Below are 16460 nucleotides of genomic sequence, written 5' to 3' on the forward strand. Positions count from 1 at the left end.
CTTAGCTATTGTGAATAGTGCTGCAATAGACACAGGAGTGAAGATATCTATTTGATATATTGATTTCCTTTCTCCTGAGTATATACCTAGTAGTGGGATTGCTGGATTATATATTAGTTCTAATTTTATTTTTTTAAGGAATCTCGAAACTGTTCTCCATAGTGGCTATGCTAATGTACATTCCCACCAACAGTGTACAAGGGTTCCCTTTTGTCCATATCCTCACCGGCATTAATTATTGTTTGTTGTTTGGATAAAAGCCATTATAACTGGGGTGAGATAATATTTCATTGTAGTTTTGATTTGCATTTCTCTGGTGATCAATTATGTTGAGCACTTTTGAATATACCTGATTGTCATTTGGATGTCTTTTGAGAAATGTCTATTCAGATCTTTTGTCTATTTTTTAATCAGATTATTAGACATTTTTCCTACTGAGTTGTTTGAGCTACTTATGTATTCTGCCAGTTAATTCCTTGTCAGATGGGTAGTTTGCAAATATTTTCTCCCATTTCATGGGTTGTCTCTCCACTTTGTTGGTTGTTTCCTTTGCTGTGCAGAAGTTTTTAACTTGATGTGATCCCATTTTTCCATTTTTGCTTCGGTTGCCTATGCTTATGGGATATTCCTCAAGAAGTCCTTGTCCAGAGCAATGTTATAGAGAGTTTCCCCAATGTCTTCTTTTGGTACTTTTATGTTTTAGATGTAAGTCTTTGATTAGATTTTGTATATGGCAAGAGATAGGGGTCTAGTTTCATTCTTCTGCATATGGATATGTAGTTTTGGCAGTACCATTTATTGAAGAGACTATCTTTTCTCCAGTGTATGTTCTTGGCATCTTTGTGAAAAATGAGTTCACTGTAGGTATGTGAATTTGTTTGTCAGTTCTCCATTTTGTTCCATTGCTCAGTGTGTCTGTTTTTATGCCAGTATCATGCTGTTTTGGTTACTATAACTCTGTAGTATAATTTGAAGTCAGTTTTGTTCTTTTTGCTCTGGATGACTTTGGCTATTCAGGTTCTTTTCTGATCCCATATAAATTTTAGGATCTTTTTTCTATTTCTGTGAGGAATGTTACTGGTATTTTGATAAGGATTACATTGAATCTGTAGATTGCTTTGAGTAGTATGAACATTTAAAAAATGTTGATCTTCCAATCCATGAACATGGAATATCTTTTCATCTTTTTGTGTCTTATTCAATTTCTTGCATCGGTATTTTATAGTATTCATTGTAGAGATCTTTTACTTCTTTAGTTAAATCCTAGGTATTTAATTTTATTTGCAGTTATTTTAAATGGGATTACTTCTTGATTGCTTTTTCAGATTGTTTGCCGTTGGCATATAGAAATGCTACTGATTTTTATGTTAATTTTGTATCCTACAACTTTACTCAACTTATCAGTTCTAATGATTTCTTGGTGGAGTCTTCAGGTTTTTCCATATGTAAGATTATATCATTTGCAAATAAGAATAATTTGACTTTTTTTCTTCCCAATTTGGATGCCCTTTATTTCTTTTTCTTGTCTGATTGCTCTATCTAGGACTTCCAGTACTATGCTGATAAACAGTGATGAAGTGGGCATCCTCCTTATTTCCAGACCTTAGAGGAAAGCCTTTCAGTTTTCCCTCTTTCAGTATGATACCAGCTGTAGGTCTGTTTATATGGCTTTTATTGTGCAGTGGTAGATTCTTTCTATACCCAGTTTTTTGAGTTTTTATCATAAAGAGATGCCAAATTTTATCAAATGCTTTTCCAGTATCAACTGAAATTATCATATGGTTTATTCCTTCATTCTATTGATATGATGTATCACATTGGTGGATTTGCATATGTTGAACAGTCCTTGCATCCCTGGGATAAATTCCACTTGGTCATGATGAATGATTATCTTAATGTGTTGTTGAATTAGGTTCACTATTATTTTGTTTTGGATTTTTGCATCAATGTTTATCAGTGATATTGGCCTATACTTTCTCTTTTTTTGATACGTCTTTGCTTGATTTTGATATCAGGGTAATACTGGCCTAATAGACTGAGTTTAGAAGTATTCTCTCCTCTGTTTTTTGGAATAGTTTGGGTAGGATTGTTCTTCTTTAAATGTTTGGTAAAATTCAGCAATGAAGCTATGAGGTCCTGGGCTTTTTTTTTTTTTTTAATAATTTTGCATGCTTCATTCTTTTTTATTCTTTTATTTTGTCTCCCTCACTGTATATTTTCAATTAGCATGTCTTCAAGCTCACTAATTCTTTCTTCTCCTTGATCAGTTCTGTTGAGAGACTCGAATGCATTCTTCAGTATGTCAATTCAATTGTTTAGCTCCAGAATTTCAGCTTGATTTTTAAAAATTATTTCAATCTAATTTACATTTCATTTTACATTTTCATTATGGATAGGATTCTGAATTCTTTCTCTCTGTTATCTTGATTTGTTTAGCTTCCCAAACCAGCTATTTTGAGTTATCTGTCTGAGAGGTCACATATCTCTGTCACTCTGGGATTGGTTACTGGTGCCCTTATTTAGTTCATTTGGTGAGGTCATGTTTTCCTAAATGATCTTGATGCTTTTGAGTGTTCATCAATGTCTGGGTGTTGACAAGTGAGGTATTTATTGTAGTCTTCATAGTCTGGGCTTGCTTGTACCTGCCCTTCTTGGGAAGGCTTTAAAGAAGTATTTAAAGAAAATTGAGTGTTCAGATCTAAGTATTTGCCTATTGCAGCCATATCTGCCCAAGCCCAATAATAGTATGACTCTTGCAGACTAACAGAGGTAGCACTTTGGTGGTGTGGGGTACTATATGACAGAATTCCCTGGATTACCAAATAGAGACTCTTGTTCTCTTACTTTACCCCAAACAAACAAGTTTCTCTCTGTGCTGAGCTTCCTAGAATTGGAGGAGGGGTGACACGAGCACCTCTGTGGCCACCACTACTGCAACTGTGCTGAGTCAGACCTAAAGCCAACACAGTACTTGATGTCACCCGAGGCCTGTGGCAACTATTGCCTGGTCACCACTGATGTTTATTTAAGGCCCAAGGGCTCTTTAGTCAGCAGGTGGTGAATCATTCTAAACTTGTATTTTTCCCTTCAAGGTGGTGAGTTCCCTTCTGGCCCAGGGTGGGTGTAGAAATGCTGTCTGGGAGGGAGGGTCTGGAGTCGGGAACTTTAGGAATCTAGAATCTACTTGGTGCTTTATTTTACTTGGTAAAGCTACTTGGTAGCTGAGCTGATACCCAAATTCTGAGTCAAAGTCTTTTTTACTCTCCTCTCTTATTTCCTCAAGCAGAAGGAGTTTCTCCTCATGGCCACCACTGCCCTAGGCCCATGGCAAGTACTGCCTGGCTACCACTGATGTTTACTCAAGGCCCAAGGGCTCTTTTTCACCTTATGGTGAATCTTGCCAGGCCTGGTTATCTCCCTTCAGGGCAGCGGGTTCCCTTCTGGCCCAGGGTGTGTCTAGAAACGTCTGTTGTCCGGGAGCTAGGGCCTGGCATGGGGGCTTCAGGACTCTGCTTGGTGTTTTATTTTACTATGGCTGAGGTAGTATTTAAGTTACAAGGCAAAAGTCCTCTTTACTCTCCCCTCTTTTCAAACAGAAGGTGTCTCTGCCAAAACTGCGAGCTGCACTGTCTGGGGCTGGGGGAGGGGGTGACACAAGCACTCCCTCGGCTGGCCCAGCTGATGTCTCACTAGGTCCTGTACACCCTAAGTCTACTGGCTCTGAGCCCAGCACAGTACCAGAACTTGCCTGGGAACTTTCCTCCTTGAAAGGCCTAGGCTACCTTTCAAGTTTATTTATGACCCCAGAGCACTTTAGCCTGCAGTGTTGATGCTAGTCAGAACTCAAATTCTGACTTCTGGCATAGAAAATTCCCCTCTAGCTAGGTCCAATCTGAATGCTTCCAGTGTGGGAGCTAGCTGAATTCTGCCCTGTATTGCTTTGCACTGTGACAGTTAGCACTGAGTTCCAATGCAAAGTCCCATAATCACTGTATTCTCCCTCCCTCAAGCACACAGATATTCTTCTCTCTCTGCAGTGCTGCACTGCTAGGAGATGGAGGAGGGGCTGTGTAAGCAATACAAGAGTCTTTTCTGCCCTCTTCAGTGCCTTCTTCCTTGATATGATGTTAAAACCGGGTACTATGATTGTTCACCTGATACTTGGTTCTTATGAAGGTACTTTCTTGTTTAGATAGTTGTTCAACTTGATGTTTCTGTGGGGGTGACAATTGCTGGAGGGTTCTATTCAGCCGTCTTGCTCCACTTCTCTCAGATCTTTTTTCATGTCTTTGCCTGCATATATTTGCATTTTATATACAGACATAATGTTGATATGTTTGGATATCATTTTTCTTATTTTACATAATATTTTTTATATTACCTGGCATTTATTAGATGATTACAATATGACACACAGTATTTCAAACACTTTTCAAGTATTATGTCATTTCATTCTCATGCCTCACCCACTTATGAGGTAGACACTATGGAGTGTTAGATAATATAAGCAAATTACTGACAGAGCTTAAGAAATTCTTATCTAGTCAAATTTTATCTTATTCTGTCACTTCTCCTATACAAACCCCAACTAGTTGCTAATTATATAGAAAAGGTAATTACTTCATTTTTTATAAGTGATTATTCAAACACTTAATAGTTCTTTTCTAAAGCAGCTTCTGTTTACAGAGATCTGACTTAATCAGAACATTGCATTCTTCAATATGAAAAAATTAAAAGCCTTCAAACTGGACTGAACTTCAATTACACATCATTTTTAATGTAATTCAGTGATTGTTTTTCTGAGAATAATATTAATGAACCCTCTAAAATTAGATTAAATGGCTAACATGTATATATATGACATATATATATATATATATATATATATATATATATAAACCCTTGTGCCTTAAGTCTGTATAGCTCAAAATCATCTTAGATTTACTTATGGTAAAAATCTTCTTAAATTTGCTCATCTGGGATGCTCATGATAACAAAACAGATTCTGTTCTTAGAGATCAGACATCATCAGAATATTTGATTCCTCAACTGAAGACATAATATCTCTCAAATAGGCTCTTATGAAAGAGTGATGTGTAAAACTAGAACTATAATATATAACTAATGTGACCTCTCTTTGCTGGCCCACACCATGGAAAGTTAAATGATTGGGAAGGCATAGAATCAGGGCAAGAGTGAGATAAGAATTTACTTGTCTCCTGATACAATTGGACCCATCATTTCATTTGGCAGTTTCAGATTTTTCTCTATTTTTGGTGAGCAGAATAAAGTTGTTATGTTTATACCCACCTTAGTAAATTCACAAAAAGATTTTGACACAAGCATCTGTAACAGTGAACTGTTACATCTCATTATTAAAATGATACATATTATTGCTAAAACATGCAAAGAGTACAAAAGTATTTAAAGTAGAGGATAAAAGTTCTTCACATTCCTCTTTCCAATTCCTATTCCCTAGAGATGATTCTATGATGTCTTGTGTACCTTCCTGGAAATGTTCTAAATGCATACAACCATACCTAGTTTTATCTATACCTTAGCTGTAATGATAGACATATAATTGTGTAGGTTTAAATTTTAAAATTGAAATTCTGAGAAGTTCATGACGCAGCCATTTGTATAGGTATATATATATGTATATGTATATATATGCACTTGGCTTCAAAGCACAACTTAAAATGCTGTGACTTTGAATAGATTGTTGGCAAAGGACACCATTCAGAGAGAGTTAGTCTATTAGTATAAAAAAATTGCAGCTGATGAGGCAAAAAGACAGAGTCAGTAATCTCCAGAAACAGGCAAGAGCATCATAGGACCATAGCATAGAAAGAAACTTGAGAGGTTATCCAGACAAATTCTCTACTCTCATCCTAGCCAGTTGATCATCAACCTTTGGTTGAACTTCTTCATCAATGAGCACTTCTCTGGCTCTCAAAGCACACCATTTCATTTTCAGATACTTCTATTCAGTATATTTGTTAATTGGCATTCCAGTTGTTCCTCAAAAGACAATTCCATAATCATTCACCATGGGACAAAAAATACTTCACCGCGTGTGCCTGAAAGTCATACGTTCATAATTTATGATGGAAGCTTTGTTGAGTATTAAAAACATAGAAAGCTCAGCCAGACGCAGTGGTTCACGCCTGTAATCCCAGCACTTTGGGGGTTGAGGCAGGTAGATCACTAGAAGTCAGGAATTCAAGACCAACCTGGCCAACATGGTGAAACCCCGTCTCTGCTAAAAATACAAAAATTAGCCGGGTGTGGTGGTAGGTGCCTGTAATCTCAGCTACTCAGGAGGCTGAAGCAGGAGAATTGCATGAACCCAGGAGGCAGAGGTTGCAATGAACCAACGTGGCACCAATGCTTTCCAGCCTTGGTGACAGAGCGAAACAAAAAAGAAAGAAAGAATGAAGGAAGGAAGGAAAGAAAGAGAAAGAAGAAAGAAAGAAAGAAAGAAAGAAAGAAAGAAAGAAAGAAAGAAAAGAAAAGAAAAGAAAAGCTCAATGTGTTTCTCATAGGTTTGTATGTATATGACTAAAATAAAAGACTTTCAAGTGTTTGTTGCAAAATGAAAAAAGAATGATGATGCCTTGCCTTGGCAAGGATGGAGATAAATGGGCACTCTTCTGCACTACTGCTAGAAGTATACATTCAAAAACACCTTTAAAGTTAAACTGACACTATATTTTTAAAAAAAGAAAAATAAAAAATATACTCCTTAATTTGGCAATTCTGGTGCCAGTAACAATGTGGAAATTTATCCTATAGAAATAATAATAAATCGGTACAAAAATGTAGTTAGTGTATACATTCGGTATAATGTATAATTAAGAAAACTGCAATGACCTAAATGGCCAATAATGGCAAATATGTTATTTATGTGAATATGATAGAAATTTATGTAGCTATTAAAATTATGTTGTAAATTTATTTATGGAACAGAGAGAATGGTTATTATGGATGTATAAAGCATAGAACAAAAAGCTCGAATGAAATACCCTATAATGTTAACAGTGATATCATTGAATGATAAGGGTAGGGTTATAGGTTACTTTCTTTTTCTTAAGCTCCTGTATTTTGTCCAGTTTCTCTATACTAATTACATATTACAGTTTGGTAAGAAAAACTATTTTGAGGTCAGGAGTTCAAGACCAGCCTGGGCAACAAAGCGAGACCCTATATCTATATATATATATATATTTTTAATAAGCTGAGTGCAGTGGCATTTGCCTTAGTCCCAGCTTCTCAGGAGGCAGGGTCAGGAGGATCTCTGGAGCCCAGTAGTCCAAGATCACAGTGAGCCATGATTGCACCACTGCATTCCAGGTTAGATGCTGACAGAGTGAGAGTGAGATCCTGCCTCCCCCAGCACCCCCCCAAAAAAAAAAGAAAAGAAAAGAAAAAATATTGATAGATAAATAGATACAATAAAAATTAAAATGTTGGGCTTTGGAATAAGGTAGAGTATAATTCAAGGAACCACAACTCTGTGTTTTTCTAGAGATGTGCTTTTAAGCACTTAATTTAAATAATGAGATGATATATGTAAAGTAGCTGAGATTCTGTCTGCTAAATAGTAACTTACTAAGCATTAGTGTTTTTGCTCTTCACGTTTGATTAGTGGTTTATCTCTTTGGCTCAGGAAAAGATGAGACCAGAATTTTTTCTACCCTTTCTCTTTCTTCCTTTTATCCTATTTCATAGAAGGGTGAATGACAATATACAAATAACTTGTTTTCCTGAACATGCTACATCGGAGTCCCTAAATTTGGTATTGAGCGCCCCTACACAGATGCAGCACCTGGAGTGATTAGTGCCCAAGTAAGATTTAGCCATTTAAGGTTCAGAATGTCCTCTCTTTATAGAATCAGGTGAATTAATAACCAATTGACTCTATGATTTTAGTCATATTGGCTAATGCTATATGGACAGGTCTATCATAGGAAGGCAAGGGAGTTGACAACTACTTTAAGAAATATTTACAAACCATTCTACAGTTTCTTCATAGGGCATATGGGAGCCTGATGCTTCTTACCAGAAATAGGTGAATAAAATAGGACTCAGATAGATGTTCATATAGGTTTTTAGAAAAGAAATAGTCTTTGCCCAGAGAGCAGAAAAGATTACAAATAAATTAAGACTACAGATAAAGCCCTTTTTAGGATTATGCAGGAACCATGGACAAGAATCTGAGACCATACTTTAGTCTTATACAATTTTTTAATTGTGACGACAAAATTGTATTGCAAATAAATAATAATACACAAGAAGCCACCAAGTATAACTTAATTTTATCACTTAGATTGGTGATTTTAGTCACACTGTAAAACTTAATGACTTATGGTAAAGTAAATTTTATGCATTGACAAAAATCTTTCTGCAGTTAAGTCATGTTATTTTAAAAAAATATTTTTAAGTCTCTGGGGCTAAAGATTTCCAAAGAGTGAAAGTCTGTGGACAAAATTCTCTATACATGACTTCATCTGTCACTTTCCTATTGTGCCAAATTTTAGGCTCCCTCTCTTATCTTGGTTAATAATATTGCTCACTATCTTTTTCTCCTGCAGCATAATCACCTTAGGACAGAGCTGTGACTAATCAATGCTTATATGTCCTTAATGCCTGGCCAATTATTGAGGGACTAAGCATTTATTTAATTACTGAATTAAAGTATTCCTTAATCCTGCTTCTATTTTTTTGTGTTTGGACTACACTAGCAACATTTGCTTTTTTGTAGTGGATCATAGAAACCCAATGCCTCCTCTGCATCTCACCAGCCAAACTCAGTCATCTGGAACTTAGGTTCCTGGTTAAAGAAAGACTAAAATATATTTCCCCTGTCTATTACTGTAGCGATTCACTAAAAAGAAAAAAATAAAGAAAATAAAAGAAAAGGAGATTTACTACCTGCTTTGAAATGCTGCAGGAGAATTTCTCGTTGGTTGCAGGACCTGCTCTTTCCTCAGATATTGTCACTCTCAGGAACCATTGTTCTCAGAGTTGTCGGAAGAGTAGAGAAATGAAAGGCAGTAGTTTTTTTTTTTTTTTCATCCCTAAGTGCACAAAGAATATGTACATGTTAGTTTTTGGCATCTTCTTTTACTATACTAAATGAGGTTTTGAAGTTTTAGGATTAGAAGAAAGAACTTACAAGGAAAAAAACATTATTTGTAGCATTGTATATTACACATATTGACAAATGGTAAAGTCTGTGTGGTTTTAACTGAAAATAAATAGACATTTAATTCGGTAGCCTAATTTATTACCTAAGTAGCATCAATCACTAGGGCATTAATTCCCTGACTATCCTTGGCACAGCCCTCAGTATAGACTTGGCAACTTCTGATTGAAATGTGACTTGGGCACATTGTCCCTGAGGTGTCTGAAGCAGTTGCTAGCAAGCTTATAGTGAGCATCGTATCAGCAGTGTTCACATAAGTAAGATGGATGAATGGAATGAGGAAGAGTAGGTTTCTTGAGTGTTCATTATAGGATTCCAGAATTATAATGAATTTTAAGGAATCGACCTGTTTTTCTCTTTGTGATTTGAAAACAGATCCAAAATATGAAAAATGGCTACCACATATTCTAGTGTTGCAACAAAACCAGCAGCTGTGTGGGTTTCCCCCTAAAATTTTTTGTCTCTACGTGAACCTTTTAAATACCCATTTTCCCAAAGGCATCCATTTTACCACCTTGCAAGAAGCTACAGTACATACAATATTGTTGGTTTAATCTCAGTATTTTTTATTTATATCATCCAGAGGAGGATTTCCTACTAAGTGGCAGGCATTTTAAAATTTTTGTTTTGAAATAATTCCAGACTTTACGTAAAAATTGCAAAAGAGTACCAAAAGTTGCTATATATCCCTTATCCACATTCCCCCAGATGTAAACATTTTATATTGACCTTTCTCATTCTCCCCCGCCCTCCTCTCTCTCTCCTTCTCTCTCTCTCCTGCCCTCCTCCCTTCTTTTTACACACACACACACACACACACACTTTTTCTTAAACATTTTTCAACTTTCTTAAGAAATTTGCACATGATATCACTGTTCCTCAAAATAATTCAGTGATCATTCCCCTCCTCCAAAAGAACAGTTGTGGGGCATAAATGTTGTCCTTCGTCCATCGTGTGTACACTGTTGTCACACAATTAATGCCACAATTAATGACTTATGTCACTTTATTTCTGCTGACTTCAGACCTGTCCTAGGAATATTTTTCGACAGAGCTCTGCAAGTGGTCACCTCCCTTAAATCAGAAACATACCTGAGGCCAGTATTCAGGTAGATAATACAAGTGGGTCTGCCTAAAGCATAGGAGGGTTGATTAGAAGAACATGCCTTTAATTTCTCACCTTTCTATTGGATTAATGCCAGAAATTCAGTTCTCACAAATCATCTTTTCAGCCAGAGCTTCTGACCCATATGAAAATATAAAATAGTAGCTGGGAGGTTTGGGACTATACATGGTATTTAGTAAATATATTTTGAATGTTAGATGAAGTAACAAAACAATTGCCTTGCAATAGCTGTATGGAAGCAAGAATTCTGAGAACCAGTTTTGTTAGAAGAGGAAAGTGAGAATGAAAGACACAGGAAAAATAAATAATTTCTTAGCACTTTTGTCTAAAAAAAAAGATTTCTCCTGTGAGACATTATTTTGCATTGTACATATTTTGCATAGTGTACAAAGCACTTTGATGTGTGCCACATCTTCTCTCCTCAGTCCTGAAGTTATGAGGATACAATGATTAAATAATGAATGTAACATTTGCAGCATACATTTAAATACAATATTTGCAGCATATATTTGCTAGGATAGAGTATTTGTCCAATAAATGTGTCTATTAATAATGGCCTTCTCCCTGATGTTATAGTTGCTTTGTCAAGGAAGTGAAGAATCAAACTATGCTATCACTATTATCATAAACGACATTAGATTTACTTTTTTAAAATTCATACAAACTCTTTTTGGGGATTATATTTAGTAGTGAAATCCACATATTAAATTGACTCTTGAAAAATATCCACTTGTTTTTTCTTGAATCTGGCTATGATTCGTGTTTTTCAGGAATCCTGACCCTGACAACCCTGAGAAGTGAAACAGAATTTTACCATTTATATTTGTGCTTCTTTTTAAATTTGATTTTGTGTTTGCTTTGTAATGTAGTACTAGTTCCAATTATTCCTTATTTGGAAGTTTCTAAAAATTAGTTTGAAGATGCCGGAATAATTATGTGAGAAGAAACTTAGAATAACTAAGAGATTTATGGTCTCTATATATGTGTTTTTGTCAGTCTGGAAAAACGAACTAGAACATAAGAAGGACGATTTTGGTAGTCACTGGGCCCATGCTGATTAACCCAGATTGCATGTCACCTTAGTAGGGGTCAAACTTATAATGATTTAGAAGTAGATCTTGAAATTTCCCCTACTCTGTCTCATCCCCCTCCCTCCAATTATCATCCTTCAGTAGCCTGAGAAATTATAAAATAAAGTTACCACCCTGTCTACCAATGTGCATTCTGCTTCAGGGCAATCTTATACCACAGAGAAATGAAATCTAGATTTTCTATACCAATATGTTTAATATAAAACAACCATTTTCTTAGATGTCTGTTTTGATATGATTTAGGTTATCACTTAATGAAGGTGATACTTATCAGTGTACTTATATTTGTTGTCCATGACTTAACCTTATAGAATTAGACCGATGCATGTCCTGTCTTTCCTGCTAGGCATTTTTTGGACTTGTTTGGTTACTCAACAGCCGTGTTTCTTTTATTGCCCTCCTTTCCAACAATGTTACAATTTACATATACAAGTGGGATTATAAGAGACTAATTTTGTAAAAGGTGGAACACATATTCAGTGAAGCAATTGACTATTTCCACTCGAAGTTGAAATCTTATGGGGATTCATACATGATATGATCAAAAATTTTGAGAAGATCTTAATGACCATTGTGCATTATGATAAAGACAGTGAAAAGCTGCTTCAAATGGTATCCCATCTAGTCATAGTACAAAGAAATCTCTTTATTGAACGGTAGCTTTACTTAGTACCAAAGACGGAAAACCACCATGCTTTGAAGAGTGGCGCCTGCACAAAATGGAACTGCTCAAACATTTTGATTTAATTAATAAATAAAATGAGCTCAAAATATGGTCATTAGTAGTCAATAAATAAATAACAAGGCTTAATTCAAAAAATGGATGCCGCTTTCTGTGTTAGAGGCTTTTAAATAATTATAGCACAAACTTGTTATTGGCATTAATAAACAAGCCTGTTGAAATGATTATTGTTAGAGTCAAAACCATTAACCATTAATTAAGCCTCCTAGGAGTAATATCAGATGTCCACATTGTTGAGTTTAAAACGGAGATACAGAGACTGAGTGATTCGCAGTGGACAAAAACAAAGCCAGCTTTCCCCCTTCCTAAACTGGTTGTTCCGAGTGCCATGCAGCAGCCAATATAAACAGAGAAAATGTATTTCCATGTATACTTTAATTCCAAAAGTCCAAACATCATTACTGAGAATGCTCAGTAATTTCATAACATTAAATGTTGGGTCATTTTTGTTTGCTTTCTGTCTTAAGACAAATGGATTCTATTTGGATTGCACCCAATTCTGTTACTTTTTTTAAATATCATTAAGTTGATTTTGTGTCAACAAGATCAAATAACTTGAAAAACTTACCCTCTACATGAAAAATCCCCAATGTCCTTTTGTAAACAAAACTTGGAGTTACTCAAGTGCATTAACTCTTCTGAGAACAAATAAAATGAGTTAAGTATATGCTGAGAATGTCAGATTGGTTCATACACTTGGAAATGAATTTAACAAGAATCATTTGCCATCTCTATGACCATACACATGAAATTAATTTTGCCTCAGCCAAAAATCTTGTTTGCTACAATTAAACACTGATGATGCAAATCTATAGTAAACATACATATTTCCAAATCCTCACTCTTTGTTGAGCAACTGAGACAGATGGAAACTCTCAGCTGCACACCATTTAACAACATAAATGTCCACACTTTGGACATTACTCCCCATCTCTGCTTGTAGAAGTGTTTGTGTGAGAGGCATCAAGTGACTAAAGATATGTTTTTAGGCATCAACTATATTCAATTCTTGTGATAAGCCCCAAAGTAATACAGATGATGTGGAAGATATGTATTTCACGTTACTTAACTAATCATCAGGTAGGTAAAGTATGAGGTTGCTACTAAAAGATTTTAACCTCCATGGTATAGAAAACTCTTGTTTAATCTCAGAGGTCCCATGGTCTGTAATAAAATATAATTTTGATATGAAAGAAATTATATCATAGTCATTTAATGCTATGCTGGGGAAGCTGGTCAATTGCTTATCAATTTACAACCCAAGCCCCATCTCAGTTTCTCAGACTTGCCCTGTGCATTCTTGCCCCTTAACATTTGTAGATGATGTTGCTTTTGCCTGGATCTTTCTTCCTGTCCCACCCCTATTTCCTACACTTTTTGTAGTTAACTCTAACTTGTTATCCTTCAGGTCACACCACTGATTATTGTATATATCTTAGTAGACTATCAGTTCTTTCGTGGCTAGAACCAGGTCCAGTTCATTCCATCTTTAATGTTTAGCCGAGTGTAAGAGGTCAGTATTGGAGGAATACATTAATAATGTATTAATAATAAATTAATTATCTAGAAGTTTCTTTCTTCAAGAAATTCCTTCTAGAAAAATCTTCCTTCGAGAAAGTGATTAGAGAAATAGGATAGCTGTAGGTAGTGGTAATAAGGTAGTGATAAGCATGGATTGCCTAGGAAACCACAGCGAGATTGATTGAGACAGTTGTGATGGTTATGTTGGAGTTAATGAGAACAAGACTGAAAAGGTAAAATCAGCCTAATTAATAAAGAATACTGAATGCCAAGCTAAGAAGTTTGAACACGGTTTGAAAGGCAACACGACCACTTGTAGTTGTTATGTTAGGGAAGTGATACAATGAAAGTCGTCTTGTATTTTGGCACACTTACTCTATTTTTTTCTTACAATTGTCTTCTTGGGTACCAAACGGTCTCCATGTGTTTTTTATATCATGGGATCATTAAGGGATGTTGTACTTTTGGAATAGTCATAAACAAGAAAGCACACTGTTGATTACTGAGGAATGAACATACACAGTAAAATTAAAAATGACAAAAATATTTTTGGAACAAGAATAGGAAGAAAGTGAGAAGATTCTACTAGTATAAGATAAATAAATATTTTTAAAAGTTTGTTTTCTTCCTATCAGGTATAATTCTACAATTACACAGATTTTTATGGTTTCATAGTATCCTCTCAATAAATTAATCATGAATGCTTGTGACCTTTATTACTGTATTGATGTTTCCTAAACAAAGATTTAAATGTTTTAATCATCCAAATAACATTTATCTATGATTTCCCATTTATATAATTCTGTATGTTCATAATGGTTTCATTTTATAATTAAAGATCTTTTCTGTTGAAACGTAATGTACACTCCTGATAAATATTTTAAAGTACATAAAATATAAAGAAGAGTGACCAAAAAAACACCATTGCATTATCCAGAGGCCATTTTTGTTACCATTTTTAAAAAATTTTATTCAAGCATTTATCTTCTGTAATTTTTTGCATTGTTGAAATTATAATTTATAACTTGTATCTTTTTTGTAGTGCCTCCTTCTTTGCTTAACATTGTGTTATAAACCCTTTCCTGTGTTATTTTTCTAAACTTCATTTGTATTTCCTGGAAAATATTCTATTTTATGTGCATTTCTCTAATATTGGATATTTAACTTGTTTCTTATACTTTTGTTGTGATATGCTTTTCCACATTGCAGGTTATTTCTGTGATAATTTATAAGCTGGAGGAATATACCTCATTCCTTTTACGATAAAATTTTGCAATTCTTGATTTATTTTTCTTTTGCCAACTGAATATTCTAATAGTTTTTTTTAAAAAAGAGTGCATAAATGCTGTATTTACTGAGCTCTCACATAGAGGCAAAGAAGCAGATTAAGCATGTGAACTTCAGAGCCAAGTAAATCTAGGCCTGAATCCCAGCCCCTTCACTTTCTAGTTGTATGACTTGAGTAAGTTACTTGAGTAACTTGCTTGGGTAAGTTATCTTCAAATTGCAGTTTGAAGATAATCATTTCTACCATTTAAGGTTTGAGTAAGATTAGGTGGGGGTGGGGGGAAGTATTTAAAGTACCTGTCATTGTACCTGGCACTTGTGCTTTATTAAAGGCTAGAAGTTATTGTTTATGCTATTATTATCACTGGGGTTCTTTCTTGTCACTATGAAAGTCAACATGGGTTAAAAATTTCTGCATGGGATTACCAAACAAAAGCAATAAGAAAAACAACATACACATTATCAACAACCAAAACCCCCACTACCTCTGAAATGCATTGCTACCAGGACTCTTGCTATTTCTGTGATCCACCAAGAGCTTTACTTATGGAAACTATACTTATTTCCTAGAATGCAGTACATCACCACCCACTGCTCCTTACCCTACTTCCTGAGCAGGGAACTCTAATAACTACAAAACCAGCCTAGAAAGATACTACTGCTATGGTTGAAGAGTGACAATAGGAATCACACTGCGATTACTTTATAAAAGCAGCACACACAAAATGTTAGGAGGTACCAATGCCAAGTTTTAGCTGTCTAAAAACTTATATTTCTGAATCAGATGATAGACACTGGAGAAGAAAAAAACAGACCTTTTTACAACTTTGGGTATAGGATAGGTATTATACTATATGGATTGTATTTTTAAACCTGTATCTACCAGGATTTTCATTATTATCAGAAAATTATCTCAAATTCTAGTAATAGTTTGAGCAAAAGTTTGAGCTTTTATTATTGTAACTTTGTTTTTTTATCTGTATTATAACTTAGGAAAAGCTTTTGGATTTTATTTTAACTTCAGAAAGTTCTCTAAGGATTTTATTTAAGAATTACATACTTGCTTTAATAGAGAAATATCAAATAAACCCAACAGAGCTTTTTTAACAAATTCATATCCAAGGGAAAACATATAATTTGACATTCTCTTTGCTAATTATAGGGCAAACAGTTATATCCAATAAAATCCAGCTATTATTTAGTTTCACGTGTATTTGAACATAAATTCATTTTGTTTGTTTTCTTTTTTATCTTCTGAGTTTATGAATTATATTTATGGAACCAACTTCAAATAGATAATGAAATTTTCCCTAAAAATGAACGGTAATTTAGATGCTAGTTCATGGGGCAAGCATTTGATCTTAAGATATCTCTGCAGTGTTTTATGGGTATTGAATCAAAGTTTTAACATAAGCATCATTTTTATTTCTAGTTTACAATAAAAGCATGTATAATTTAGTATAAAATTGTAAATGCTTCATAGGT

The 16460-nt window shown here is 34.8% G+C and overlaps 1 protein-coding gene and 1 long non-coding RNA gene across 2 annotated transcripts in view; one reads left to right on the plus strand and one right to left on the minus strand.

The window, feature by feature from the left end:
* Nucleotides 1-16460, minus strand: part of LURAP1L-AS1 (LURAP1L antisense RNA 1) — a 114391-nt gene that overhangs the window by 81687 nt on the left and 16244 nt on the right. Inside the window, exon 2 of the long non-coding RNA NR_125775.1 lies at nt 8935-9080. This is a non-coding gene — a long non-coding RNA (LURAP1L antisense RNA 1). The remainder of the gene's footprint in view (nt 1-8934; nt 9081-16460) is intronic.
* The window catches only part of LURAP1L (leucine rich adaptor protein 1 like), a 48041-nt gene that overhangs the window by 6666 nt on the left and 24915 nt on the right, over nt 1-16460 (plus strand). The window lies entirely within an intron of this gene.

This window comes from Homo sapiens, chromosome 9, assembly GCF_000001405.40.
Source record: "Homo sapiens chromosome 9, GRCh38.p14 Primary Assembly".
Lineage (NCBI taxonomy): Eukaryota > Metazoa > Chordata > Mammalia > Primates > Hominidae > Homo > Homo sapiens.